The sequence below is a fragment of the Homo sapiens genome, chromosome 19 (genome assembly GCF_000001405.40).
Source record: "Homo sapiens chromosome 19, GRCh38.p14 Primary Assembly".
NCBI lineage: Eukaryota > Metazoa > Chordata > Mammalia > Primates > Hominidae > Homo > Homo sapiens.
Window position 1 is genome coordinate 950,504 of NC_000019.10, and position 26,098 is coordinate 976,601.

Below are 26,098 nucleotides of genomic sequence, written 5' to 3' on the forward strand. Positions count from 1 at the left end.
AGAGGGGTTCAGGGGGAGCAGCCAGGTGTGTACAGATGGCTGTAGCCATGTGGAGGCGCGCGTGGGGACCGGCAGGCAGGCAGGGAGTTGGGCTTTCTTCTGGGAGCAGTAGGGAGCCACGGTTGACCGTGGAGCAGGGGAGAGACCTGGTTTGATCTTGGTCTTGACTTCCAAGCCCCTTGGTCCCTCCGACCTTGGAGGCTGCTGGAAGGAGAGGGCATCTCATTTACCATCCTGGCTGCTTCATGGGGATTTGGGAGATAAAAAGCAGCTCTTTCAGTTTAACTTTGGTTGTAGGAGTCACAGTGAATTAGTTCTTTATTTTGTTTTTTTTTTGAGGTGGAGTTTCACTCTTGTTTCCCAGGCTGGAGTGCAATGGCACGATCTCAGCTCACCACAACCTCTGCCTCCCGGGTTCAAACTATTCTCCTGCCTCAGCCTCTTGAGTAGCTGGGGTTACGGGCATGCACCACCACGCCTGGCCTATTTTGTATTTTTGATAGAGATGGGGTTTCTCCATGTTGGTCAGGCTGGTCTCAAACTCCTGACCTCAGGTGATCCGCCCGCCTCAGCCTCCCTAAGTGCTGGGATTACAGGCGTGAGCCACTATGCCCGGCCAGGATTCTTTCTTAAAGAAGAGACGGGGTCTCGCTGTGTTGCTGAGGCTGATCTCAAACTCCTGGGCTCAAGTGATCCTTCTGCCTTGGCCTCCCAACGTGCTGGGATTACAGGCGTGAGCCACCACACCCAGCCTTTTATAAGATCTTTTAAGGCCAGGCGCGGTGGCTCATGCCTGTAATCCCAGCACTTTGGGAGGCCGAGGCGGGCGGATCACAAGGTCAGGAGTTCAAGACCAGCCTGGCCAACATGGTGTGAAACCCCATCTCTACTAAAAATACAAAAATTAGCCAGGAGTGGTGGCAGGTGCCTGTGGTCCCACCTAATCGGGAGGCTGAGGTGGGAGGATCACTTGAGCCCAGGAGGCTGCAGTGAGCTATGACTGCATCACTGCACTCCAGCCTGGGCGACAGAGTAAGACCCTGTCTCAAAAAAAGGAAAAAAAACAACGTAGACTAAAGAACCAAACCTCAGAGTTCCCCGGCTGGTCTGGGTGGGCCTGGCTGTTGGATGAATTCTCTTTTTCCCTCTGACCCTTCAGCCCCGCTGGGTGCGTGGGCGCCTGGGAGGCTCAGGCTGCTGCCCGGAGGGGGCGGCTGCTGACTCAGATCTATTGCTGCTGCTTCTGAGCATCCGCAGACCTATATCTGGCCTTAGAGGAAAACATACTTCTTCAGTTTCCCAGAAGCCATATTGGACAGTGCAAAAACGTGCCTTTTAGAACATTTCTCAGGCTGGGCACAGTGGCTCATACCCAGAATCCCAGCACTTCGAGAGGCAGAGGCGGGAGGATGGCCTGAGGTCAGGAGTTCAAGACCAGCTTGGCCAACATGGTGAAACCCCGTCTCTGCAAAAAATTTAAAAAAAAAATTAGCCAGGTGTGGTGGCACGTGCCGGTAATCCCACCTACTTGGGAGGCTGGGGCAGGAGAATCGTTTGAACCCGGGAGGCGGAGGTTGCAGTGAGCTGAGGTCACACCACTGTACTCCAGCCTGAGCGACAGAGCGAGACTCGGTCTCAAAACAAAAACAAAGTGTCTCAGGCTGGGCGTGGTGGTTCATGCCCAGAATCCCAGCACTCTGGGAGGCCGAGGAGGGAGGATCACTTGAGCCCAGGAGTTTGTACCCAGCCTGGGCAACATAGCAAGACCCCATCTCTACAAAAAAAAGTTAAAACTGGGCATGGTGGTGTGTGCCTGGGGTCCCAACTACTCCAGAGGCTGAGGCAGGAGGATCACTTGAGCCTGAGAGGCTGAGGCTGCAGTGAGCTGTGATCGTGCCAGTGCACTCCAGCCTGGGCCACAGAGCGAGACCCTGTCTCAAAAAAAAAAAAAAAAAAAAAAAAAAGGAAAGAAAATTTCTCTTCTTCTGACATCTCTCTGCCAAGTCTCGGGCCAACCCTCCTGGAGGCTCAGTCAGGCCAACCCTCCTGGAGGCTCAGGGCTCGGCAGTCCCCAAACGCTAGACACTTGGATTCTTTCTTGGATTTCCCTGAATTCTGTGGCCAAAGAGAGCGTCTGAAGGGCTGCAGCTGACCAGGTGCCTCCCAGCTCCTGCACCCCTCCCACCCCTGCCGTGGCCTCATCCCCAGGTGGGGCCTCATGGACTTTGGAGCCTCCTGGGAGACTGGAGGGGGCCTGGGGGGCAAAGGTTCTCCCAGGGGGCCCTGCAGACAGGCGGTTTCTTTACAGCCTGGGCCTCTGGGCCCAAGGACACCGCCCTGGGCCCCCCGCAGCTGCTGGGACCTGGTGGGAGTGCCCAGGTGGGGCCTGCCTGGGGACTGAGTGGGGAAACCATAGCCCCCCTGTGACCTTGGGCACTGCCCACCTGTGACCTTGGGCACTGCTGGGGGAGGGGCCGCATGTGCTGGCCCCGGCCACCCTCTTCTGTCCTGGCCAACCCTTTCCTTGGATTTTCTGCAAACCTCTGGGGTCTTTTTCTGACCTTCCTCCCACCTCCCAGAGCCGGTGGGCTGGGGAGGGGAGTCCTGAGCCGGGGCTGAACTCCCTGGTTCTAGGGGTGGTCCGGGCAGCCGGGGAACCCCCTCCCCACTCCCAGGTGGCCCTGGGACTTATCTTGCACCCTGTCCGCCAGCAGACTCCACTGACCCCCTCGGAGCTGTCGTTTCTCTGGGAGGTGGGGTGGAGAAAATCATCAACGTTTCGCCACAAACAAGAATTTCCTGTTTGCCCTTCCAGGGCTGGGGGGTGGCGGTTATCTCACTTTTTCCTCCCCTCCCCCACCGGCGCCACCACCCGAGCCCCGCCACCCTCTCTCCTCACAGGTGCCCCCTCCAGAGGGGCCCGGTCCTCATCAGGTGGGGGCGGCACCTCCCACCCCCCCAGGCCTCCCACACCCCCCCCCGTGCAGAGCCGGGGGAGTGTCAGGGTCGGGGGCCACAGCGTCTTCCCTCCATCCCCAGAGCCACGGAGTGTGTCTTGCAGATCCGTGTAACGGGGCTCGGGCGTGCAACCTTCTGGGAAGAAAACCAAAGAGGAATGAAGGGGTCAGAGGCTGAGGGGGGCTGTGGAGGGGGCTCTGTCAGAAGGCGACGTTTGGGCGGGAAGGCAGGAGCCGAGCGGGGACCCGGGAGCTGCATTCCAGGCAGAAGGAACAGCGCCGCGGAGGCCCTGGGGTGGGGGCCTGTGCGTTTTACATAGAAAGACGCCAAGGCTGGGTCTGGGGGCTCCTGCCTGTAATCCCAGCGCTGTGGGAGGCTGAGGCAGGAGGATCACTTAAGGCCAGGAGTTTGAGACCAGCCTGAGCAATATAGCAAGACCTTGTCTCTATAGAAATACAAAAATTAGCCGAGCGTGGTGGTGCCTGCCTGTGGTCTCATTGGCTCAGGAGACCGAGGTGGGAGGTGGAGGCTGCAGTGAGCTAGGGTCTCACCACTGCACTCCAGCCTGAGTGACAGAGCGAGACCCTGTCCCTAAATAGGGCAGCTCAAGGCCGGGGCGGAGGGAGCAGGAGAGGGCAGGGAGGGGCCAGGAGGGTGCTGGGGGGCCCTGGGAGGCTGTGGCCGAGGGAGGGTCATGCTCAGATGTCTGTGAAAAACCCCCCACCCCACCCAACTGCTGAGTGGGGAAGGGTCTGGCAGGAGGGGCGGCCGGGGGACCTGGAGGTGGCTTGGCTCCACGCGCTCTGTGCCTCGGTTTCCCCTTCTCCGAAGCAGGTGGTGCTGGGAAGGGGAGACGATGGGCCCAGCCTTGGTAATTAGGGGTCCACACCTTCCATCCCCCACAGCAGGAAGTGGACAGAGGGGAGGGGACCCCCTCAGGGAAAGACCCCCAGGCCTGCCCTGTGGCCCCGCATTTTCTTGGCATCGCACTGAGAAAGCAAGTTCATTTAACATGCATTTATTAGGCAACTGCTGTGTGCCCGATTTTGGATGCTGGCAACAAGATAAGAATTCCGCATGTTCCAGGGCAGACAGACGAGAGACAAATGCGTGAATCCACACAGCTGGGGCCATGCGAGGGCTGGGGGTCCAAGGGGGGCCGTGAGCCAGAAACCCCGTGAGGCCGGTGGTCGGTAAAGGTGGGTGGGAGCAGAGCATCTGCGGAGGTGATATCGGTCCTGGGAGGACGGGGGGCTCCCCTCCAGGGAGGGAATGACCACAGGGGACCCAGACGAAGGGAAGGGGCTGAGAAGGCCTCGCAGACGGGAGGAACAGCCGGGGCGAAGGCGGCCGCTCGGGGCTGATGGGGGGCGGTGGGGGTCTCAGCGGAGGGGCACCTTCAGAACTTCACACCCGACCCCTCCCGTGATCAGAGCAGGCCCCAGGGAGGTCAGGCGGCGTGGAGGGGAGTGCGGGCCGCTTATCTCGGCCCTCAGCCCCTGGGGAGGGAGTTTCCGGAGATTTTGCCCAATCTCCAGCCTGGGTTTAGGGCTCCTGTGGGTGTGTGGTGGGCGGCTGATTTCAGAGCTTTCTGGTTGACGTTTCAGAGGGGCAGGGTTTCGGCCACAGAACCCAGGTGAGAACCAAGGCCTGGGTTTGCCATGGGGTGTGCTGTGGCCCAGCAGTTCAACCCGGGATCTGGCCCACAAGGGGGGCCTGGACACCGCCATGGGCAGCCTGGACACCGTCCCCTGCTTTCCCATCCCTGGGGCCTCGGCCAGCTGGCCAGGGCGGGGCGCCCCCCACAGGGGAGCGGAACCGGGGGCCAGAGACCCATAAAGCCCAGGCGGCCTTTACTGCTGGCTTTGTTGCTGGCTGCCCACAGCAACGGCCATTAGAGCCGCCTCCCCCGCCAGCAGCTGGGGCCCCCGCAGGTCCTCCCTTTACTGCCACGCATCAGTGCCCCGGCCCCACAGGGGTCTGACCGTGCCTCGCCACCGGCCCAGTTCGCCCACCATTTGGCCTGGGAGTTAATGGCTCCCCTCTCCAACCCCAACCTTGGCTGGCTGTACATGGGGCAGCTGATTGCTGCCTGGCGCCTCGGTTTCCCCATCCGGGATGTGAGGGTAGCTGGGGCGCCAGGTGCTTGGGGTAAAGCTGCTGTGTTTTCTCACACACTCTATTTGAGAGATGGGGAAACTGAGGCAGGAGGTGCGGTGAGGTTTCTTGTAGGGGCTGTGCCAGGGAAGGGGGGGTCCAGGCAGGGTAGACCCCGTAATACCGGGTCAGAATCTCAGAGGAGAGGACCTTCCGCTCGCCCTGGAAGGGCCCAAGGTGTGCTGGCCTCTACGTGCGGTTCTTAGCCGGGGGGCTGCGTAACGAAGGACCTCAAACCGCGGGCGTAAAACAAACGAAACCTGTTCTCCCTCCGTCCTGGAGCCCAGAGTCCAAAATCGAGGCGTCCGCAGGGCTGCGCTCCCTCCAGGGGCTGCAGGAGGAGCCTTCCGCCTCTCCCAGCTCCTGGGGGCTCCAGGAGTCCCTTGACATGTGGCCGGCCTCTGTCTCTGTGCGACCGTCTCCAGTGCCCACCGGCCTTCACTGTGACTTTTTCTCAATTTGATCACGTCTGCAAAGGCCCTTTTTCCAAATAACGTCTCGTTCTGAGGTTCTGGGCCGATGTGAATTTGGGTGGGGGATGGCGTTCACCCCAGGACAGCCCCAGCGGTGAAGTCCTCCCCATTCCAGTACCTGCTGCCTCAGGCGTTTCCCTGGCAAGCTCGTCCTGTCCCCCTCTCCGCCCTGTCCCCCTCTCCGCCCTGCCCGGCTCACTTTTGCAGCTGAGAAAATCAAGGTTCAAGTAACGAGCATTTATTAGGCAACTGCTGTGTGCTCGGCTGATTCCAGACTCTGGGAACAAAACAGACTAAACCCCAGATACACTCCTAGATCCGTGACTCGGTGATGGACGGGGTCTCGGAGGAAGAACGTGGAGGGGAGGGGGCGGCAGCCGGGCCGGGGTCAGAGGACGAGGCCGGGCGTGTGGCCATGTGTGCGTGCCTGTGCTCATGGGACCCACCGGCCCGGCCAGCCGGGTCTACCTGAGGGCCCCACACCCCTCAGGCAGCTGAAGGGGAAAGGGCCTCCCCGGCCACCATAAATCAGCGCAGGAATGCAGGCTGGCCAGTCTGGCGCTGGCCGGGTTGGGGCGGAGACAAAGACCAGGCAGCTGGACCTCGGGCAGCCTCGACCACCCAGGGCAGAGGTCAGGACTCCTGGCTGCCCCCCCAGCCCCTTCCCGGAAGGCCTCACTGGGCCTCCAATACACAGACGGGGAAACTGAGGCCCAGAGAGGGGCAGGACGGCTGCAGGGTGATGGGGCCTTTGGCCGGCCTCCCCAGCACCTGGGATGTCCCCGCAGCAGCAGGGGCTGGGCGTGGGTCTCCTTCTGGGCCCTAATGACCGATCATCCCAGCTGAGGCCTAATTGGTGGTTTCAAGGCTCCCCACTGCCCAGCCAGCCACATTCCCCCGAGCTTAATTGGCAGCCTGGTATTTGTCGCAGCTCCTCCTCGGCAAATTGGCCCCCGCCTGAACTCCGCTTTCTAATTATCCCTGCCGGCTTTCCCCCACCCTGCCCGCCCGAACCTGTGGGTGGGGGGGGGCGCTGGGGGACCTCCTGGCTCCTTGTACCCCAGACGGAGCCTCTTTCCCCTCTGGAAGACGTTCCGGGGCCTGGTGATCTTCTTCCTCCCCAGCCACCACCCTGGCAGGCAGAGGCGGTCGGTGGCTCATTTCATAGCTGGAGGCTGAGACTCCAGGCTCCAGGTGCGGGGAAGCCAGCAGGAGACAGGAGGACCGGGATGGGAAGCAGGGCGGGGCTCTGGGCCAAGTCCCCAGCAGCCCCCAGGCTCTGGTCCCGCACTCGCCGCTGTGTCTCAGTTTCCTCACCTGCAAAGCAGAGCCAGTTCTCGGAACAAATGCGCTCCCGTCCGACCCTCAGGACAGCCCCGGGAGGCATGCTGGTGAATTTTTGCAGCGATTTGCTGTGTGAACTCAGGCAGGCACTGTCCTAGGGTAAATTGTGTCCCCCAAAGAAAAGGTGGAGGGCGGTGGCTCCCGCCTGTGACCCCAGCACTTTGAGAAGGCAACACGTGAGGATCGAGGGAGCCCAGGAGGTCGAGACCAGCCAGGGCAACATAGAAAGACCCATCTCTACAAAAGAAAATGTAAAAACTTAGCCGGGTGTGATGGCGAGTGCCTGTGGTCCCAGCCACTTGGGCAGCTGAGGCAGGAGAATCCCTTGAGCCCAGGAGGTTGAGGCTGCAGTGAGCTATGATTGCGCCACTGCACTCCAGGCTGGGCAACAGAGTGAGACCCTGTCTCCAAAAACAAACAAAAAAAAGACTTTGGGAGGCTGTGGCAGGCGGATCACTTGAGGTCAGGAGTTCAAGACCAGCCTCGCCAAATAGTGAAACCCTGTCTCTACCCAAAAAATACAAAAATTAGCTGGGCATAGTGGCAGGTGCCTGTAATCCCAGCTACTCAGGAGGCTGAGGGGGGAGAATTGCTTGAGCCCCGGAGACAGAGGTTGCAGCGAGCTGAGATTGCGCCATTGCACTCCAGCCTGGGCGACAGAGCGAGACTCCATCTAAAAATAATAATAATAAAAATTAAAATTAAAAAAAAAAATAGGCTGGGCGCAGTGGCTCATGCCCATAATCCCAGCACTTTAGGAGACTGAGGCAGTCGGATCACGAGGTCAGGAGACCATCCTGGCCAAATGGTGAAACTCCGTCTCTACTAAAAATACAAAAAAATTAGCCGGGCGTGGTGGCGGGCGCCTGTAGTCCCAGCTACTCCAAGAGGCTGAGGCAGGAGAATGGCGTGAACCCGGGAGGTGGAGCTTGCAGTGGGCCAAGATCGCGCCACTGCACTCCAGCCTGGGCGACAGAGCGAGACTCCATCTCAAAAAAAAAAAAAAAAAAGAAGAAAGAAAAAGAAAAGAAGAGGACAGGTTCAAGCACTGGATTCCCAGTACCTGTGACAGGACCTCATTTGGAAACGGGGGAACTTACTGACATACAATCACGTGTTGACACTTTGGTCAACCTCAGACCGCAGATGGGACGGTGGTCCCACAGGATTAGAATTCCATATTTCTAGTGGCTCACGCCTGTAATCCCAGCACTTTGGGAGGCCGAGGCGGGCGGATCACGAGGTCAGGAGATCGAGACCATCCTGGCTAACACGGTGAAGCCCCGTCTCTACTAAAAATACAAAAAATTATCCGGGCGTGGTGGCGGGCGCCTGTAGTCCCAGCTACTCGGGAGGCTGAGGCAGGAGAATGGAGTGAACCCGGGAGGCGGAGGTTGCGGTGAGCCGAGATTGCACCCCTGCACTCCAGCCTGGGGACAGCGAGACTCCGTCTCAAAAAAAAAAAAATTCCATATTTCTTGTGCACCTTTTCTGTGTTCAGCTGTGTTAGACGCACAGACACTCATGCTCACGTTGCCACTGCCTACGGGACCCAGGACAGCCACAGATTTGTAGCCCAGGAGCGCTGGCTGGGCTGTGCCTGTGCCTGGGTGTGTGGGAGGCTCCACCCGTGAGGTGTGTGTGACTCACTGTTTGATGTTCACACTGACGAAATCACCAACAGACATTTATCAGGACGCATCCTGCACGAAGACAGAGGCAGAGGCTGGAGCGACGCGGCCACAAGCCCAGGAACCTGGAGCCCCCAGAAGCCGTGAGAGGCAGGAAGGTTCCTCCCTTGGAGACTTCGGAGGGAACGCAACCCTGCAGACATCTTTTGTTTTGTTTTGTTTTTAGAGACAGGGTTGCGTTCTGTCGCCCAGGCTGGAGTGCAGTGGTGCGGTCTCGGCTCACTTCAGCCTCCACTGCCCAGGCTCAAGCAATCCTCCCACCTCAGCCTCCCGAGTAGCCGGGACTGTAGGCATGAGCCACCCCACCTGGGTAACTTTTTGTTATCATAATGTAGAGATGGGGTCTCACTATGTTGCCCAGGCTGGTCTTGAATTCCCGGGCTCAAGCGATTCACCCGCCTCCCAAGGTGCTGGGATTACAGGTGTGAGCCGCCACCCTGAAGAGAAGTTGGTTTTGGACTTCTGGGCTCCGGGACCGCGGGAGAATAGATTTCTGTTGCTTTAAGCTGCAACGTGTGGCTGTAAGGGAGTTAAGGATCGATTTGAGATGAGGTGGCCCTAAAACCAGCAGGCTGGTGTCCTGAGAAGAGGAGAGAGAGACGGGGAGACGGTCTTGTGGAGACGGAGGCAGAGACTGGAGCGCTGCGGCCACAAGCCAGGACGCACCTTGATCTGGGGTTCCCGGGCCCCTGGACCGGGAGAGGACACTGTCTTGTCCCAGGCCACCTGGTTTCTGGTGCCTCCTTGCAGACCCTCTGGGAAGCTCGTTCACCGGCATTTCTGTCTTGCAGCCTTGTGGTTCTTCACCTGCCCAGCGGGGTCTTCGGCTCTGGCAGCGGCTTGAGGGTCCTAGGGGTGGTGACCCCTGCTCCTGTCCTCCTGACCTGGCCTCCAGTGCAGGAGGGACATGGTTCCCACACCTGAGCTCTGGCACCAACTAACCCATCCCCTCTCCACCCTCACAGCTCTACGAACTCGACGGGGACCCCAAGAGGAAGGAATTCCTGGATGACTTGTTCAGCTTCATGCAGAAGCGAGGTGAGCCCTCTGCCCCCACCCCGCTGGAGGGAGGTCACAGAAACAGGGCTGTAGGAGGGGCCCTACTGGCTCCAGGTATGTCGGGGCGGTGGTGAGCACCCCGTGGCTGGAGGCATCCAAGGCTCCTAAATCGGGAGGGACTTCAGGGGTGTCTTGGGGGGAAACACATCCTGCCATGGAGGTTTGACGCGGGAGGCACGCCTGTGAGTCTAAGGGGTAGGTCCCTTGGTGGGGGGCAGGGCAGTCTCAGGGCCCCAACCCAGAACAGACAGTCCAGGTCATCTCCTTAGCATCCAGGGTGCAGTGAAGTGGGGGTCCCCACTACTGGGTAATGGGGGAGTGGAACCAGCCTCTGTGTTTAGGGAGTGGGGTCAGATTCGGGCTGGCCAGGTGGGTGCAGGTGCGGCAGGACAGAAGCCCCCCGCCCGGCCGCGAGATGGCTTAGAGTCTAATGATCTCATGGCGGCCAATGCGACATTTGAGTCCTGGCCCCTCCCCTCTTCCCACCAGGGCCTCAGTTTCCCCATCTGTAAAAACGGGCCACAAACAGTCCCTGCCCAAAACTCAGTGGCCAGCAGGTACCCCAGATGTGCTGAGTGCAGGGCCGCTGTTTACTGTGCACACTTATTGGGCACCAACGGTATACCAGGCTCTGTGCCCCCAAAGTCTCCTGGCCTAGAGAGGGCAGGTCTGGGCTGGTGTCCAGGTGGGGAAACTGAGGTCCAGACACAAGACAGACTCAGACGACCAAGGGTAGCCGGGGTGTCCCAGCGGCCATTCCCAGGCCCCACCCCAGCTTAGAGTGACCACGGGGCAGAGAGAGTGCGGCAAGGGCTTCCGTCTCGCCTCCAAGTCCTCGTCGGCCGGAGAGGGTCCTAGGAGCGTCTGCTGCCAGGTAGGAGCCGCCCCAACCCCCCTGGACACTCCTCTAGGGCAGGGAGCTAGCTCCGATCCCCACTGTTCAGACGGGGGAGGAGGCCTTGGGGCCCACAGAGGTCGGAAGGGGTGGGGCAGAGGGCTCTGTCCCTGCACTTGGGGCCGTCACAGGGGCCCGCTGTGTCCCAGCCTCCGCCCACCCCTCCCCTGGCTTCTATAAACACAGGCCCCAGACCCGCCACTGCCAGCCGCCCGGAAGGGAAGGAGGAGGAGGGTTGTGGGCCCCCTGGCCCACACTGCCCAGCGGCCTCCGAGTTAACCCCTCCCGTGCTGGGAACAGAGGATCCAGACCCGGGACCTGGGCGGGGGCCCCTCCTGTGTTATCCTCCAAGGCCAGGCTTGACCAGGGCCCACTGCCCCCTGTGAGGCTGGACAGATCCTCCCCATGACCCTTTATCATCCTGTTCGCACCTGCTCAGCCCTGACCACTCTGCTGTGGGGCTCCGAGCTCCTGGGTCCAAAGCCAACCCGTTTTGCTGTTACCCGTGCCTGGTACAGTGCCTGGTGTCCTGGGGGTACTTAGAAAGCACGGTGAGGGCTGGGCATGGTGGCTCACACCTGTAATCCCAGCACTTTGGGAGGCCGAGGCAGGTGGATCACTTGAGGTCAGGAGTTCAAGACCAGCCTGGCCAACATGGTGAAACCCCGTCTCTACTAAAAGTACAAAAATTGACCAGGCGTGGTGGCAGGCGCCTGTAATCCCAGCTACTTGGGAGGCTGAGGCAGGAGAATTGCTTGAATCCAGGAGGCAGAGGTTGCAGTGAGCCGAGATTGCAGCACTGCACTCTAGCCTGGGTGACAGAGGGAGCCCCCGTCTCAAACAAACAAAAAGCAGGCATGGTAGGCTGCTCATGAGTGTGGGTGAGATGGGGGCCCGTGGCACGTGGGGCCGTGAGGGTTGGTGTCCAGCTTTACCTCCCTCTCCAAGCTGGGAATTCCTACAGGACAGGAGACAGCGAGCTCCTATGCGTCCCTCAAAACCCAGCCTCAAAGCTCCCTCTTCCTTGGCTTCCTCCAGGAGCTTCCTGCTCTGTAATGGGGGCCCTTGGAGCTGAGAATCCGTCAGGTGAACCTGCCCATCACCCTAGACTTCACAATCTTCCTCTCCTTCACTCCAGACAGAGAGAAATAATTTTTTTTTTCCCCTGTGTCACAAAGTAAAAAACTCTAACTAAATTTCTCAGAATTCTCTGGGGGCTAGAAGTGAGGGAGGGGTCCTGACCACACCCTCTCCCCTCAGCAGCAGCAGCTGGACCACCTGACCTGCTGTTCCCTGACAACCTCCCCACCCTTCCTTATCTGGGCCCCACGACGGGCCCTGGTGATGCTCCCAGCTCCTTCTGTAAACATCCTCCTCCCGCCCACTGCAGAGCCAGGGCGTGGCCCTGGGAACCAACCCTCTGCTGCTGATCCTTTTTTTTTTTTTTTTTTGAGACAGAGTTTTGCTTTTGTTGCTGAGGCTGGAGTGCAATGGCGGGGTCTCGGCTCTCTGCAACCTCCACCTCCCAGGTTCAAGTGATTCCCCTGCCTCAGCCTCCTGAGTAGCTGGGATTACAGGCGCCCGCCACCACGCCCGGCTAATTTTTGTATTTTTAGTAGAGACAGGGTTTCTCCCTATTGGCCAGGCTGGTCTCGAACTCCTGACCTTGGGTGATCCGCCCGCCTCAGCCTCCCAAAGTGCTGGAATGACAGGCTTGAGCCACCGCGCCCGGCCTGATGCCGTTACTTTTACTTTGCAAACTCTGAGGCCTAAACTGGTGTCCCGAGTGGGGCCGGGCGGAGGCTCTGGGCAGGTTTCCGGGCCGATCCTGCAGCTGAAACCCGGCGCGGCTCCTCTCGCCCAGGCTGTAAAGTGGGTTTCAGGTGGGATCGGGTCTGAGGCCCGTCTTCCTCCAACCTGGGATCTCCTCCATTCACTGGGGGTTTTGCAACCTGGGAAGGGCCTGGAAGTGGCGGAGGGTGGTGGGAGGTGTTTCTGGAAGGTCAGACACCGGGGGTTCCGGGGGTAGCAGGCCTCGACCAGGCAGAGGGCCGGCTGCTCACTCAGGGCTGCACCCGCTCTCCAGCCAGTCACATCCCAGAACCTCGATGTCCACGTCCCCATCCCTAACAGGGCGATGGGCGTCCCCTCCCACCCCATGGTGAGTGGGCAGCAGCTATGGCCTGGGCCACCTGCCCTCACTGGTCTTCACTGAGCGCCTACTGTATGCCACTGAGTGCTGGGACCCCACGTAGGCAGAACATGGGGTGGGGGCCACAGACTGTACACAATTGATCTCCTAAGTGCAGAATTTCACGGACAGAACGATAGGTTTAAGTGGGTCTTGCCTACTGTCAGGCCAGGGAGGGGCTGGGCAGAGGTGGAGCTGACATCTGAAGCCAGAGGCTCCTGGTGCAGGGGCAGCCTGGGAGAGCCCTGGAGGGGGCAGGTAGGGCTGGAAGGGCGGGGAGGGGCCACGTCTGCAGCCGGCTCCAGGAGTTGAGGGGCAGGAACCTGAGTCAGCCCAGCCGCCTCTTCTTCCTGGGCCAGCCCACCTACCGCCCTTCCCCTGCCTAGGCTAATCCTCCCCCTTTCCCTCCCTGGCATAGCGTAGCCCACAACCCTCTCCTCCTGGGCTAGCCCAACCCCCCATGTCGGGGCTAGCCCATCCCCTTCCCCTCCCTAGGCCAGTCCACAGCCCTCCATTCTCCAGACTTGAAATTGGGTAAGCCAGGCTTTACCCCTTGCCTGCCTGAGGCTGCAGAGCCCCTGTCAGTGTGGAGGGAACAGGCCTCTGGGAACATAGGCAGAGTTGTTTTGGCAGCTGCCGTGGTGTGTGGCGTGGAGAAGGAATAACAAAGATCCGGGCGTCTCCCGCACGTCCCTCCTCTCAGTAACCCTCCTCCCGAGGGCTGCGCTGTCCCTAAGCCCAGGTTACTGGTGGATAAACCGAGGCAGAGCTGCCCCCTCTGCACCCTCTCGAGCAGAGGTTCCCAGCCTGGATGATCCTGCACCCACAGAGGGCCCTGGGCAATGTCTGGAGACATCTGTGGTTGTCACAGCCTGGGCGGGGGAGTGCTCCTGGCATGGAGAGGGCGGAGGCCAGGACACTCGGCTCCCTGCAGTGCCCAGGTGGCCCCCAACCTCCCTCTCGCCCCTTCCCCCAGGGACACCTGTGAACCGCATCCCCATCATGGCCAAACAGGTCCTTGACCTGTTCATGCTGTACGTGCTGGTGACGGAGAAGGGCGGCCTCGTGGAGGTCATCAACAAGAAGCTGTGGCGTGAGATCACCAAGGGCCTCAACCTGCCCACGTCCATCACCAGTGCAGCCTTCACCCTGCGGACCCAGTGAGTGGCGGACGGTTGTGCCGAGGTCGGGCCAGGGCACTCTGAGCAGCCAGTGCAAGGGGCCTGCAGAAGAGGGAGGGGGTGGTGGGCAGCTGCAGAGGAGGGGGCAGTGGGCAGCCGCAAAGGGCACAGGGCCACACCGTGCGTCCAGGGCCCGAGAGCGTCAAGTAGGGGTGCGAGGACCACACAGTCTCTGGGGTTGTGCAATCAGGGGCCATTGCGAGGAACAGCATTGAGATGGAGGGAATGGGCAAAGGCCCAGCAGCTCTGGGGGCTGCTGAGCAAGTCCAAGGGAAGAACCAGGGATGGTGGTGCCACAGTGGGGTTTACTTTGTACTGAAGGCCAAAGAGAGCCGTAGGGGTGACCCGGGTGCCATCCTCTTCCCTCGTCCCACCCACAGATACATGAAGTACCTGTACCCCTACGAGTGTGAGAAGCGGGGCCTCAGTAACCCCAATGAGCTCCAGGCAGCCATAGACAGCAACCGACGGGAGGGCCGGCGCCAGAGCTTTGGTGGCTCCCTCTTTGCCTACTCGCCAGGCGGGGCACACGGCATGCTCTCCTCACCCAAGCTACCCGTGTCCTCCCTGGGCCTGGCCGCAAGCACCAATGGCAGCTCCATCACCCCCGCCCCTAAGATCAAGAAAGGTAAGGGCCTGTATGGGGCCTGGGGCGTGTTCCCAACTGAGCTTCAGCCTGGCTGTCTGACCTTGGGGGATACCTCTTCCCCTCTCTGGGTAACCAGGATGAAAAACCCTATAGTTGGCATGGAAAAGGGCTTCCAATCTACCAGTCCTCTGCCTATGGCAGACATTACCAATCCATCACCATTTTCTAATTCCACACAGGTGGCAGGCAGACATTGCTAATCAATCTGTGTTTCCAGTCCTGTGGCCAAGGCAGACATTACTAATTGATCACTGTTTTTCCAGTCTACACTGAGGCAGGCATCATCAGTTGATCAGTTTTCCCTCCCACTGAGCCTCTGAATCCTCCATAACACAGAGGTACCAACAGCACACACAGCAGTGTCACCTCAGTTTGCCTGTCTGAGTTACCATTTCTCATCTGGGCAACATAGTGAGACCCCATCTCAAAAAAAAAAAAAAAAATTAGCTGGGCGTGGCAACGTGCACCTGTGGTCCCAGCTACCCAGGAAGCTGAGGTGGTCAGATGGGTTGAGCCCAGGAGGTCGAGGCTGTGGTGAACTGAGATTACACCACTGCACTACAGCCTGAGCAACAGTAGTGAGACCCAGTCTAAAAAAAATTTTTTTAGGCCAGGCACAGTGGCTCACGCCTGTAGTCCCAGCACTTTGGGAGGCTGAGGCAGGCGGATCGCTTGAGGTCAGAAGTTTGAGACCAGCCTAATCAATATGGTGAAACCCTGTCTCTACTAAAAATACAAAAATTAGCCGGGTGTGGTGGCACACACCTGTAGTCCCAGCTACTTGGGAGGCTGAGGCAGGAGAATCGCTTGAACCCAGGTGGCAGAGGTTGCGGTGAGCCAAGATCACGTCACTGCATTCCAGCCTCAGCGACAGAGTGAGACTCCGTGTCAAAAAAAAAAAAAAAAAAAATTAGCTTAGTGTGGTGGTGGGCGCCTGTAATCCCAGCTACTCAGGAGACTGAGGCAGAAGAATCACCTGAGCCTGAGAGGCAGAGGTTGCAGTGAGCTGGGATCGCGCCACTGCCCTCCAGCCTAAGCAACAGAGCGAGACTCTGTCTCAAAGCAAAAAAAAAAAAGGCTGGGCGCGGTGGCTCACGCCTGTAATCCCAGCACTTTGGGAGGCCGAGGCGGGCGGATCACCTGAGGTCAGGAGTTCAAGACCAGCCTGGCCAACATGAAGAAACCCCGTCTCTACTAAAAATACAAAATTAGCCAGGCGTGGTGGCGGGTGCCTGTTTCCCAGCTACTAGGGAGGCTAAGGCAGGAGAATCACTTGAACCCGGGAGGCAGAGGTTGCGGTGAGCTGAGATCGCACCATTGCACTCCAGCCTGGGCAACAAGAGTGAAACTCCGTCTCAAAAAAAAAAAAAAAAAGAAAAGAAAAGAAAAAAGAAGGTGCATGTTCCTGCCTTGAGTGGAAGGCAGGGCCCAGCCCCTCCTGGCCACCAATTCCCCTTTTTTCCTACCTAGAGGAGGACTCAGCCATCCCCATCACAGTCCCTGGCCGCCTGCCTGTGTCCCTGGCGGGCCACCCTGTGGTGGCAGCCCAGGCAGCAGCTGTGCAAGCAGCAGCCGCCCAAGCAGCTGTGGCCGCACAGGCAGCTGCCCTGGAACAGCTGCGGGAGAAGCTGGAGTCTGCAGAGCCTCCGGAGAAGAAGATGGCCCTGGTGGCCGATGAGCAGCAACGGCTGATGCAACGTGCACTCCAGCAGAACTTCCTGGCCATGGCGGCCCAGCTGCCCATGAGCATTCGGATCAACAGCCAAGGTACTGCCCTCGTGCCCAGACCCGCTGTGCTTCCTGCGTGTGTCACACAGTGAGGGCCTTGGAGCCTACATATGTAAAGAGTGCCAACAAATCAATAAGAAAAAAAAAGCCGGGTGCAGTGGCTGACATCTGTAATCCCAGCACTTTGGGAGACCGAGGTGGGTGGATCACTTGAGGTCAGGAGTTCGAGATCAGCCTGGGCAACATGGTGAAACTCCATCTCTACTAAAAATACAACAAATTAGCCGGGCGTGGCAGCGCACCCCTGTAGTCCCAGCTACTTGGGAGGCTGAGGCAGGAGAATCACATGAACTGGGAGATGGAGGTTGCAGTGACCCGAGATAACGCCACTGCACTCCAGCCTGGGCAACAATAGCAAAACTCCATCTCAAAAAATAAAAAATAATAAAGTAAACTGGCTGGGCACCGTGGCTCATGCCTATAATCCCAGCACTTTGGGAGGCTGAAATGGGAGGATTGCTTGAGCCCAGGAATTTGAGATCAGCCTGAGCAACACAGTGAGATGCCATCTCTACAAAAGTTAGCTGGGCGTGGTGACACGCTCCTGTAGCCCCAGCTACTCGGGAGGCTGAGATGGGAGGATCACTTGAGCCCAGGAAGTCGAGGCTGCAGTGAGCCATGATTGCACCACTGCATTCCAGCCTGGGTGACAGAGCAAGACCTGGTCTCAAAAACAAGGTAAAAAAAAACAAAGTGGAGTATGGACAAATACACTTATTCAACAAATAAATATTGAGCACCTACTGTGTGCACTGGTGACAGCATGAATGTGACAGACACCGTCTACACCTTGTAAAGCTAAAATCTAGTTGGCGAGACAGACAGAAAACAGAACATGTCACAGGTGTCTTTATGATCAGAAATGGCAGTTTTGGTCGGGCGCGGTGGCCCACGCCTGTAATCCCAGCACTTTGGGAGGCCGAGGCGGGCAGATCACCTGAGGCCAGGACTTCAAGACCAGCCTGGCCAACATGGTGAAACCCCGTCTCTACTAAAAATACAAAAATTAGCCGGGTGTGCTGGTGTGTACCCATAGTCCCAGCTACTCAGGAGGCTGAGGCAGGAGAATTGCTTGAACCCTGGAGGTGGAGGTTGCAGTGAGCCGAGATCGCACCACTGCACTCCAGCCTGGGTGACAGAGTGAGACTCCGTCTCAAAAAAAAAAAAAAAGAAAGAAACTCATTTGTTCGGCTGGGCACAGTGGCTCATGCCTATAATCCCAGCACTTTGGGAGGCCGAGGCGGGTGGATCACGAGGTCAAGAGATCGAGACCATCCTGGCCAACATGGTGAAACCCCATCTCTACTAAAAATACAAAAAATTAGCCAGGCGTGGTGGCGGGCGCCTGTAGTCCCAGCTACTGGGAGGCTGAGGCAGGAGAATGGCGTGAACCCAGGAGGCAGAGCTTGCAGTGAGCTGAGATCGCGCCACTGCACTCCAGCCTGGGCAACAGAGCAAGACTCTGTCTCAAAAAAAAAAAGAAAAAAAGAAACTAATTTGTTCTTCTTCCCACAGCCTCCGAAAGCCGCCAGGACTCTGCTGTGAACCTGACGGGCACCAACGGCAGCAACAGCATCAGCATGTCGGTGGAGATCAACGGCATCATGTACACAGGTAGGACCCCTGAGGCCACGCCCTGCCTGGACCTCGCCTCTCCCGCCGCCGTGAACTCAGGACCCTGAGTTGCGCCTGGTCCCACCTGCTTGAACCTAGGTGTGCGGGCGAGCAGGGCACGGCCAGGGGCTTTGCAGGACAAACAGTCAAGACTGATGGAGAGGATACCATCGTTCACCCGGTACCACGCTCAGCCCAGAGGGGGTCGTCCACAGATACATATTCAGTGTGACGTTGGATGGTTCACATTCCTAGTTTTTTGTTTTAATGAGACGGAGTCTTGCACAGACATGCACCAGCACACCTGGTTAATTTTTAAATTTTTTGTTGCTCTTTAAATTTTAAATTGCTTTGTTGCTCAGACCGGTCTTGAACTCTGGGCTCACGCAATCTTCCTGCCTCGGCGTCCCAAAGTGCTGGGATTACAGGCGTGAGCCACCGCACCCAGCCAATCCCAGCATTTTCGGAGGCTGAGGAGCAAAGAATGTATAAGCCCAGGGGTTAGAGACTTTCAGGCTGCAGCAAGCTGTGATGACGCCACTGCACTCCAGCCTGGGCCACAGACCGAGACCCTGTCTCTTGAAAAAAAATTTAATGAATGTATTTTTTATTTTTTTTAATTTGTAATTTGTAATTTTTGTGGGTACATAGTAGGTATATATATTTATGGGTTTTATGAGATGTTTTATACTGGCATCCAATGCCTAATAATCACATCAGGGTAAATGAGGTATCCAAAAAATTGAATCTAGGCTGGGTGCAGTGGCTCATGGCTATAGTTCCAGCACTTCGGGAGGTTAACACGGGAGGATCACTTGAGCCCAGGAGTTCAAGACCAGTCTGGGCAACATAGTGAGACCCCATCTCTCCTAAAAATATAAAAATCAGCAGGGCGTGGTGGCAGGCGCCCATAGTCCCAGCTACTCGGGAGGCTGAGTAGGGAGGATCACTTGAGCCCAGGAGGTGGAGGTTGCAGTGAGTCAAGATCACACCATTGCACTCCAGCCTGGGTGAAAGAGTGAGATCCCGTCCTTCTCTCTCTCTATATATCTATATATAGATATATCGATAGATATAGCTGTAGCTATACATAGATATATATAGATTAGATATAGATTTATATGTATCTATAAATACATATATACTTTTATATCTATATCTACATAGATATATATATATATAGTTGTTTTTTTTTTCTTTTGAGAGGGAGTCTTCCCTCTGTCACCCAGGCTGGAGTGCAGTGGCACGATCTTGACTCACTGCAACCTGTGCCTCCTGGGTTCGAGCGATTCTCCTGCCTCAGCCTCCCCAAGTAGCTGGGACTACAGGCGTGTGTCACCACACCCAGCTAATTTTTTTTTGTATTTTTAGTAGAGATGAGGTTTCACCATGTTGGCCAGGCTGGTCTTGGACTCTTGACCTCAGGTGATCCGCCTGCCTCGGCCTCCCAAAGTGCTGGGATTACAGGCATGAACCACCGCGCCCACCCTATATATACATATTTTTTTAAATAAAATGAATTAAAAAGTTGCCGGGCACAGTAGGTCACACCTGTAATCCCAGCAGTTTGGGAGGCTGATGTGGGTGGGTCACAAGGTCAGGAGTTCAAGACCAGCCTGATCAACATGGTGAAACCCCATCTTCCCTAAAAATACAAGAATTAGCGAGGTGTGCTGGTGTGTGCCTATAATCCCAGCTGCTTAGGAGGCTGAGGCAGGAGAATTGCTTGAACCCGGGAGGCGAAGGTTGCAGTGAGCCGAGATCGCGCCACCGCACTCCAGCCTGTGCAATGGAGCAAGACTTCGTCTCAGAGGAAGAAAAAAAAAAGAATTAAAAAATTTAATTAAAAAAGTGGAGTCAGTGCCAGGGGCAGTGGCCCACGCCTGTAATCCCAACACTTTGGGAGGCTAAGGAGAGAGGTTTGCTTGAGGCCAGCCTGGGCAACACAGAAGACCCCATCTCTACAAAAGAACATAAGTAAATGAATAGTTTTTCTTTTTTTTTTTTTTTTTTTTTTTTTTTGAGACAGAGTCTCACTCTGTTGCCCAGGCTGGAGTGCAATGGCATGATCTCAGCTCCTGCAACCTCCGCCTCCTGAGTAGCTGGGATTACAGGTGCATGCCACCAGGCCCGGCTAATTTTTGTATTTTTAGATGATACGGGGTTTCACCATGTTGGTCAGGCTGGTCTCGAACTCCTGACTTCGTGATCTGCTGGTCTTGGCCTCCCAAAGTGCTGGGATTACAGGCATTAGCCACCACACCCGGCGGTAAATGAATAGTTTTTCTTAAAGTGGAGTCAGGCCGATGGTTCATAGTGGCCACCAGGTGGCGCTGTCGACACAGAGCAGCCTTGTTGCAGGCCCCCGCCCGGCTGTGGTCAGAGGCTGAGCTGAAGGTCAGTGGTGTCCTCACAGGTCCACAAATGGATTTTTGAGGGGTCCGTGCCCTCCGGAAATCAGATGTAAAACGTGTACATTCATATTGAATCTTACAGGGGAGAAGGCCAACTGTGTGCTAGGGGTCTCGCAACCCCACATCAACGAACCATGGGCATCAGGGTTCTCCCTGCAAGAGCTGTGTGCACGCTGATGTGCATGTGTGGATTAAACACACGTGTGTGCTCACGTGCATCCATATATATGCACATGTGTGTGATGAAGGAGTGAGCAGACACAGTGGGGAAGTTTAAGCTGGGCTCACGTCTGTAATCCCAGCACTTTGGGAGTCAGAGGCAGGAGGATTGTTTTAGGCCAGGAACTTGAGACCAGCCTGGGCAACATATTGAGAGCCCATCTCTACAAAAAATAAAAAATTGCTAAAATATTGCCAGCCACAGTGGCTCATGCCTGTCATCCCAGCACTCTGGGAGGCCAAGGTGGGTGGATCACCTGAGGTCAGGAGTTGGAGACCAGCCTGGCCAACATGGTGAAACTCCGTCTGTACTAAAAATAAAAAATTGGCTGGTGTAGTGGCAGGCGCCTGTAGTTAGTCCCAGCTACTCAGGAGGGTGAGACAGGAAAACTGCTTGAACCCAGGAGGTGGAGGTTGCAGTGAGCCAATATCGCACCACTGCACTCCAGCCTGCGCGACAGAGCGAGACACCATCTCAAAAAAAAACAAAAAAATAAAAAATTAGCCAGACATGGTGGCACGCCCCTGTGGTCTCAGCTACTCGGGAGGCTGAGCTGGGAGGATCACTTGAGCCCATGAGGTTGAGGCTGCAGTGAGCTCTGATGCCACCACTGCACTCTAGCCTGGGGGACAGAGTGAGAGAGAAGTTTATTCCCCGGAGCACCCCATTGGGTCTCCCTTGTGGCCCGCCTCGCATCTTCTTAAACTCTGCATGGCATATGTCTTCTGTTCTTGCCTTAGGAGTTCTGTTTGCTCAGCCGCCGGCCCCCACGCCAACCTCTGCTCCCAACAAAGGAGGCGGCGGCGGCGGCGGCAGCAGCAGCAACGCAGGCGGCCGGGGAGGAAACACCGGAACCAGCGGCGGCCAGGCTGGGCCAGCGGGGCTGTCCACACCCTCCACATCTACCTCAAATAACTCGTTGCCTTAACCGCATCACTCCCCACCCGCCACCCACCCTGGAGCCCGCCGGCCTGGGCAGGGGGTCCAGGTGGGCCACACAGGGGCCAGGATGGCGGAAGATACGGGTGGGGAGGGAAGATATCCAGAAAGGAGCCACAGCTGACGCCAAAAAGAAAAGAAAAAAGATATATATATATATATATATATATACACGTATATATATAAAGAGAATTTAATAAAACAGGGGAAAACCAAGGAACACTTGAATTTCTCAGGTTTTGGACATTCAGAGAGATGAATTGTGAGAACAGCAAAGAAATCCATCAGAAAAACAGAAAGAGGCAGACGTTTCCCAGGGCGTTCAGGCAGCCCTGATGGACCGAAGGCTCTGGTGTCTGGTTTGGCCCCACAGCAGTGTGGGCCGATCCTGTTTACCTCATACATCCCTGCACTGTGTGTTTTCATTTTTGTCTGCTTTAGTTCTCTTTTATTTTCTATTCACCACACACTCACCACTCCCAGCTTCTCGTGTCCAGTGAAACCCCTGAACCAAGATCACTGAATTTTTGTTTTTTTCTTGTTGCTTTGGGAAATTTTTTTTTCTCTGTAGGGTTTTTAAGAGGTTTCGGGGGTTTTGTTGTGTAAATATTCTATTTTATTCTTGGGGGGATCAAACCTTAGGAAAAGGATATCTATATATCTATATAGCTATATATTTGTGTTCCTTCAGGGAAACTGGTCTTGAAAAAGCAAGAAAAAAAAGCAAAAAAAAAAAAAAAAAAAAAAAAAAAAAACTCACCTTTTTATTTTTCCCATGACCAATTTGGGTCCCTTTGTCCATTTCTGGGGGTGCGTTGGGCAGCTGTGAGCCCAGCACATCGGATCCCTGGGGCTAGAGCCGCGGAGCCAATGAACTCAGGTGCTATGGGCCGGGCTGGGGCAGAGGGTGCATGCTGGGGTCCCACCGGCCAGGGGCCCCTGACAGTGAATTGCTGACTGTGATATTCCACGATGCTTTTGCTTGTGCCGTGCTTGTCTGCTGGGCTCTCGAGTCAGGGGCCTGGAAATTTTTTTTTTTTTTTTTTTTTGAGACGGAGTTTTGCTCTTGTCGCCCAGGCTGGAGTGAGTGCAATGGTGCGATCTTGGCTCACTGCAACCTGCACCTCCCAGGTGCAAGCGATTCTCCTGCCTCAGCCTCCGGAGTAGCTGGGATTACAGGCGCCCGCCACCACGCCCAGTTAATTTTTGTATTTTTAGTAGAGATGGGGGTTTTGCCATGTTGGTCAGGCTGATCTCGAACTCCTGACCTCAGGTGATCTGCCCGCCTTGGCCTCCCAAAGTGCTGGGATTACAGGCATGAGCCGCCACGCTGGCCCGGTCTGGAAATCTTATCTAAAAAGTAGCAAGTGCTGGAAAAAGGGCCTGGGGGGCGGGGGTGGTTCTTGTCGAAGCCCCCAGGCTCCTGTCTCAGGGATGAATGTGGCGTCTCATTGGGATTCTTCTCTTGCCCGAAAGGGCTGCTTTTGAGGACTATCAATACTGGGGAGTGGGGGTGAAGCCGGACCTCACTCAGGGTGAGGATTTCAGGGCCCCGGCATCCTGAACACCCCCCACACCCCAACATTCTCCTCGCTCTGTCCCTTCCTCTTCTCCCAACCCCTTTTGTGCTGGGGCTGCGAGCTCCCCGAGTTCTGCGGTGACTAAATCGAGGCCGAGAAGGGAGGCTGCCCCCCACCACCCTGTGGGTCAGTACCCCTCCCCCTGGCTTGGAGAAAGTGGGGTCACCGCAGCTGAGCTGGGGGGTTATTTTGGCTGGAGCTGCTGGAGCAGAAAGGCTGGGTCTGAAATGCCCAGCAGGGTCTGGGGACTTCGTTGGACCCGCGTGGTGTTGGGCGGGGCTGTCGTGTCCTACACGGGAGCTCTGGGCTTTCATTTCTCTTGGGGTGCAGTGGGGATTAACTCAGCTATTCCCAGGGTAAGCCTGGGTCTCTAATTGGGCCCTGGGAGCCCTGTTAGGCCACCGGCATGGGGGCTTGGTGAGGAAGGGGACTCCCCAGCTCCCCCCACTCCCAACCACCTCCCCATTGCCTTGGAGACCCCTGGGGAGGGGGCTGGGGGGCTTCTGAGCCCCTGAGTCTAGGTTCACTTTCCCGTCGGGCTGTGGGAGGGGACTGTCACTTTCCTGTGTCTTTGGGGAGGGGACCCCCACTTCCTTCTCGGATCTCAGGGCCGTGGACACACACCCCCTTTCCAGGAGGGGGTGGTGGGCGTCTAGGTTTTCCTTGTCCCTTCCTGGGGCCAGCACCGTAGCAGCACAATCACCCCGGGAAGGGGGTGTCTGTTTGCCTCCAGACACAATCGGGCCCCACTCGCAGAACCACCTGGACTCTGTCCGTGTCTGTCCCCCGGCCTCCAGGGCTCCTCTCCCGGGACCCCCGTCCCACGCCTGGGCCCCGCGCCGGGGGAAGCGCCTGCTGCCTATCTCTGTCTACCTCAGGTCTGACTTTTGATGCCAAAATCTGAGCCCCTGGGGTGCCTCTCCCCCGCCTCCCGTGCACCAGGGTCTGCAGCAGCCACTGGGGCCTGGCTGCCTGCTGCATCTGGCGGCCCTGGACCCCTGGGGCCCCCGTGCACCTGCCCACCTCGGAGCCTGGGGAGGGGCCGTGCAGGGTCGAGGGCTGGGTCGTCTCCCTCGGGCTGCGTGTGTGTGTCGGGAATCCTGCGTGTCGTGTCTGTGGGCGATCCGGCCTCCCGGCGGTGGGTGGACCTGGATTCTAACTCAGAGGACTTGAGCCTGCTGTTAACTCCGATGATTGTAGGGACAGGCGGGGTGGGTGGGGGGTGGGCGCGAGGCTGGGTCCCGGCCCAGGAGAAGGAAGTCGCTGAAGGCAGTGGCCATGCTGGCCGTGGAAATGGGAGGCGGTTGCAGAGGGTCTATGGGGCCCGGTCCTGGATACTCGGCAGGAAGCCGTGTCTGCAGAGGCTCCTCCCTGCCTCAGGTGGCCCCGTTCAACCCCAGCCGTGCCCATCTCCTGCCACCGCCTGTCGGTGGGGGTTTAAATTCGGTGTGGCTTTCTGGGGTGCAGCTCAGCACCCCCCCTTATGCAGACTGGGAGGGGGTCGGGCAGTCCCCTCAGCCACGAGGACCCTGGATGGGTTCTAGTTCACTTGGGACCGTGGGGCCTGGCTGCGTACTGAGTGGGTGCCCCACAGTCAAGGCCAACGGGGGCTCCCCCTGCTCTGAGATGTTGGGAGAAAGGCGGCTTCTGGAACCTTCCGTGGGACCCGTAAGTGGCTGTCCAGAAAGGCGGGAGGGTGGGCACGGGGCACGGGGGGCAGCTGGGGTCGTTGTTAAGGGTCACGCATCTGTACAGTTGAATTTCCTTTCTCTTATCATGTTTTACCCACCTTGTCCCTTTTTTCCCCAATTGTGCTTTTGCATTTTTTTCCTTGGCAAATGTAAACTCAGCCTTTCATTCATGACGTGTGAAATTTCAGTTTCTCTGGAGTTTGTCAGACGGCGTGGGAACCACGCCTGAAACTCAGGTAATAGGAGGAAAAAAAAAAAAACTTAAAAAAATTTTTAAAAAACATAAAACTACTCTCTACCTCTGGCTGGGCCCAGCCTGTCTCGCCCTGGCCGCGGCAGGGTGGCCTGTAACAATTTCAGTTTTCGCAGAACATTCAGGTATTAAAAGGAAAAAAAAAAAAAAAGACAAAAAGACCAAAAAAAAAAAAAAGTGTGATTTTGAAATTTAAAAGAACACTGAAAGTTTACATTTTATAGTAACATTATTATGCAGATTGTATTTAAACTTCAGAAATATTTAAGACGATTGTAACCCTGTAAAGCTGATGAGATATTAAAACGAGACAAAACACTTCTGACTTTTAACAGAAAAGTGTCCTGTGGTGTTTTTTTTCTTTTGGCGTCTCCCCAACCTCCAGCTCCACCCTACACCCCTGCCCAGCACAGCCAGGGGTGAGTGGAAGGGGGTGCTCTATCCCCCTCTGCCCTGCATCGCTCTAGGTCTGGTTCCGGGCGGCAGAGACAGCTACAAAAGCGGGGGTCTGGCCAGGTGCGGTGGCTCACGCCTGTTATCCCAGCACTTTGGGAGGTCTAGGAGGGCGGAATCACCTGAGTTCGGGAGTTTGAGACCAGCCTGACCAACATGGTGAAACCCCATCTCTACTAAAAATACAAAATTATCCGGGCGTGGTGGCGCGTGCCTGTAATCCCAGCTACTCCGGAGGCTGAGGCAGGAGAATTACTTGAACCCAGGAGGCGGAGGTTGCAGTGAGCCGAGATTGCGCCACTGCACTCCAGCCTCGGCGACAAGAGGGAAACTCCATCAAAAAAAAAAAAAAAAAAAAAAGCAGGGGTCCTCAGCCAGGGTCTGTGCCCCCAGGGGGACCCTGGTCCATGTCTGGGGGCATTTGTGGTTGTCACGCCTGGGGGGGCGCTCCTGGTGTGGAGTGGGTGGAGTCCTGGGATGCTGCTCGGCACCCTGAGTGCCCAGGACGGCCCCACCGCAGAGAACAATCTGGCGCCCAGCATCCACAC

General features: G+C 57.0%; 1 protein-coding gene across 6 annotated transcripts in view, besides 11 other annotated features; it reads left to right on the top strand.

The window, feature by feature from the left end:
* Positions 1 to 25,436, top strand: part of ARID3A (AT-rich interaction domain 3A) — a 50,208-nt gene extending 24,772 nt beyond the window's left edge. For 4 of the 6 annotated variants that reach the window (XM_017026445.2, XM_005259514.5, NM_005224.3 and 1 more), the window contains exons 4-9: positions 9,589 to 9,661; positions 13,745 to 13,928; positions 14,330 to 14,577; positions 16,069 to 16,365; positions 17,902 to 18,000; positions 21,375 to 25,436. In XM_017026445.2, the coding sequence (XP_016881934.1) occupies positions 9,589 to 9,661; positions 13,745 to 13,928; positions 14,330 to 14,577; positions 16,069 to 16,365; positions 17,902 to 18,000; positions 21,375 to 21,562 (1,089 nt within the window). In that variant the 3' untranslated portion in view covers positions 21,563 to 25,436. Of the gene's footprint in view, positions 1 to 8,647; positions 8,934 to 9,588; positions 9,662 to 13,744; positions 13,929 to 14,329; positions 14,578 to 16,068; positions 16,366 to 17,901; positions 18,001 to 21,374 lie in introns of those variants that run through there. The other 2 variants (XM_047438381.1, XM_047438380.1) reach the window with 2 other exon arrangements.
* Positions 1,064 to 1,143: an enhancer, noted in NCBI's record as "active region_13576". NCBI's record gives its function as "activates an Ori minimal core promoter by ATAC-STARR-seq in GM12878 lymphoblastoid cells {active_cell/tissue: GM12878}" and the evidence as "EXISTENCE:reporter gene assay evidence [ECO:0000049][PMID:35858748]".
* Positions 1,862 to 2,563: an enhancer, noted in NCBI's record as "H3K27ac-H3K4me1 hESC enhancer chr19:952365-953066 (GRCh37/hg19 assembly coordinates)". NCBI's record gives its function as "activates a minimal SCP1, AML or CMV promoter by ChIP-STARR-seq in naive H9 embryonic stem cells {active_cell/tissue: H9 hESC(naive)}" and the evidence as "EXISTENCE:reporter gene assay evidence [ECO:0000049][PMID:30033119]".
* Positions 2,564 to 3,265: an enhancer, noted in NCBI's record as "H3K27ac-H3K4me1 hESC enhancer chr19:953067-953768 (GRCh37/hg19 assembly coordinates)". NCBI's record gives its function as "activates a minimal SCP1, AML or CMV promoter by ChIP-STARR-seq in primed H9 embryonic stem cells {active_cell/tissue: H9 hESC(primed)}" and the evidence as "EXISTENCE:reporter gene assay evidence [ECO:0000049][PMID:30033119]".
* Positions 3,247 to 3,455: a silencer, noted in NCBI's record as "fragment chr19:953750-953958 (GRCh37/hg19 assembly coordinates)". NCBI's record gives its function as "represses an EF-1alpha promoter that drives an FKBP-Casp9 reporter gene in an ReSE screen in K562 erythroleukemia cells {active_cell/tissue: K562}" and the evidence as "EXISTENCE:reporter gene assay evidence [ECO:0000049][PMID:32094911]".
* Positions 4,661 to 4,920: a silencer, noted in NCBI's record as "silent region_9643". NCBI's record gives its function as "represses an Ori minimal core promoter by ATAC-STARR-seq in GM12878 lymphoblastoid cells {active_cell/tissue: GM12878}" and the evidence as "EXISTENCE:reporter gene assay evidence [ECO:0000049][PMID:35858748]".
* Positions 4,661 to 5,371: a biological region, named in NCBI's record as "H3K27ac-H3K4me1 hESC enhancer GRCh37_chr19:955173-955874".
* Positions 4,670 to 5,371: an enhancer, noted in NCBI's record as "H3K27ac-H3K4me1 hESC enhancer chr19:955173-955874 (GRCh37/hg19 assembly coordinates)". NCBI's record gives its function as "activates a minimal SCP1, AML or CMV promoter by ChIP-STARR-seq in naive H9 embryonic stem cells {active_cell/tissue: H9 hESC(naive)}" and the evidence as "EXISTENCE:reporter gene assay evidence [ECO:0000049][PMID:30033119]".
* Positions 6,074 to 6,775: an enhancer, noted in NCBI's record as "H3K27ac-H3K4me1 hESC enhancer chr19:956577-957278 (GRCh37/hg19 assembly coordinates)". NCBI's record gives its function as "activates a minimal SCP1, AML or CMV promoter by ChIP-STARR-seq in naive H9 embryonic stem cells {active_cell/tissue: H9 hESC(naive)}" and the evidence as "EXISTENCE:reporter gene assay evidence [ECO:0000049][PMID:30033119]".
* Positions 7,151 to 7,343: a silencer, noted in NCBI's record as "fragment chr19:957654-957846 (GRCh37/hg19 assembly coordinates)". NCBI's record gives its function as "represses an EF-1alpha promoter that drives an FKBP-Casp9 reporter gene in an ReSE screen in K562 erythroleukemia cells {active_cell/tissue: K562}" and the evidence as "EXISTENCE:reporter gene assay evidence [ECO:0000049][PMID:32094911]".
* Positions 12,306 to 12,824: an enhancer, noted in NCBI's record as "H3K4me1 hESC enhancer chr19:962809-963327 (GRCh37/hg19 assembly coordinates)". NCBI's record gives its function as "activates a minimal SCP1, AML or CMV promoter by ChIP-STARR-seq in primed H9 embryonic stem cells {active_cell/tissue: H9 hESC(primed)}" and the evidence as "EXISTENCE:reporter gene assay evidence [ECO:0000049][PMID:30033119]".
* Positions 14,518 to 14,695: a silencer, noted in NCBI's record as "fragment chr19:965021-965198 (GRCh37/hg19 assembly coordinates)". NCBI's record gives its function as "represses an EF-1alpha promoter that drives an FKBP-Casp9 reporter gene in an ReSE screen in K562 erythroleukemia cells {active_cell/tissue: K562}" and the evidence as "EXISTENCE:reporter gene assay evidence [ECO:0000049][PMID:32094911]".
* Positions 25,437 to 26,098: the final 662 nt, after the last annotated feature.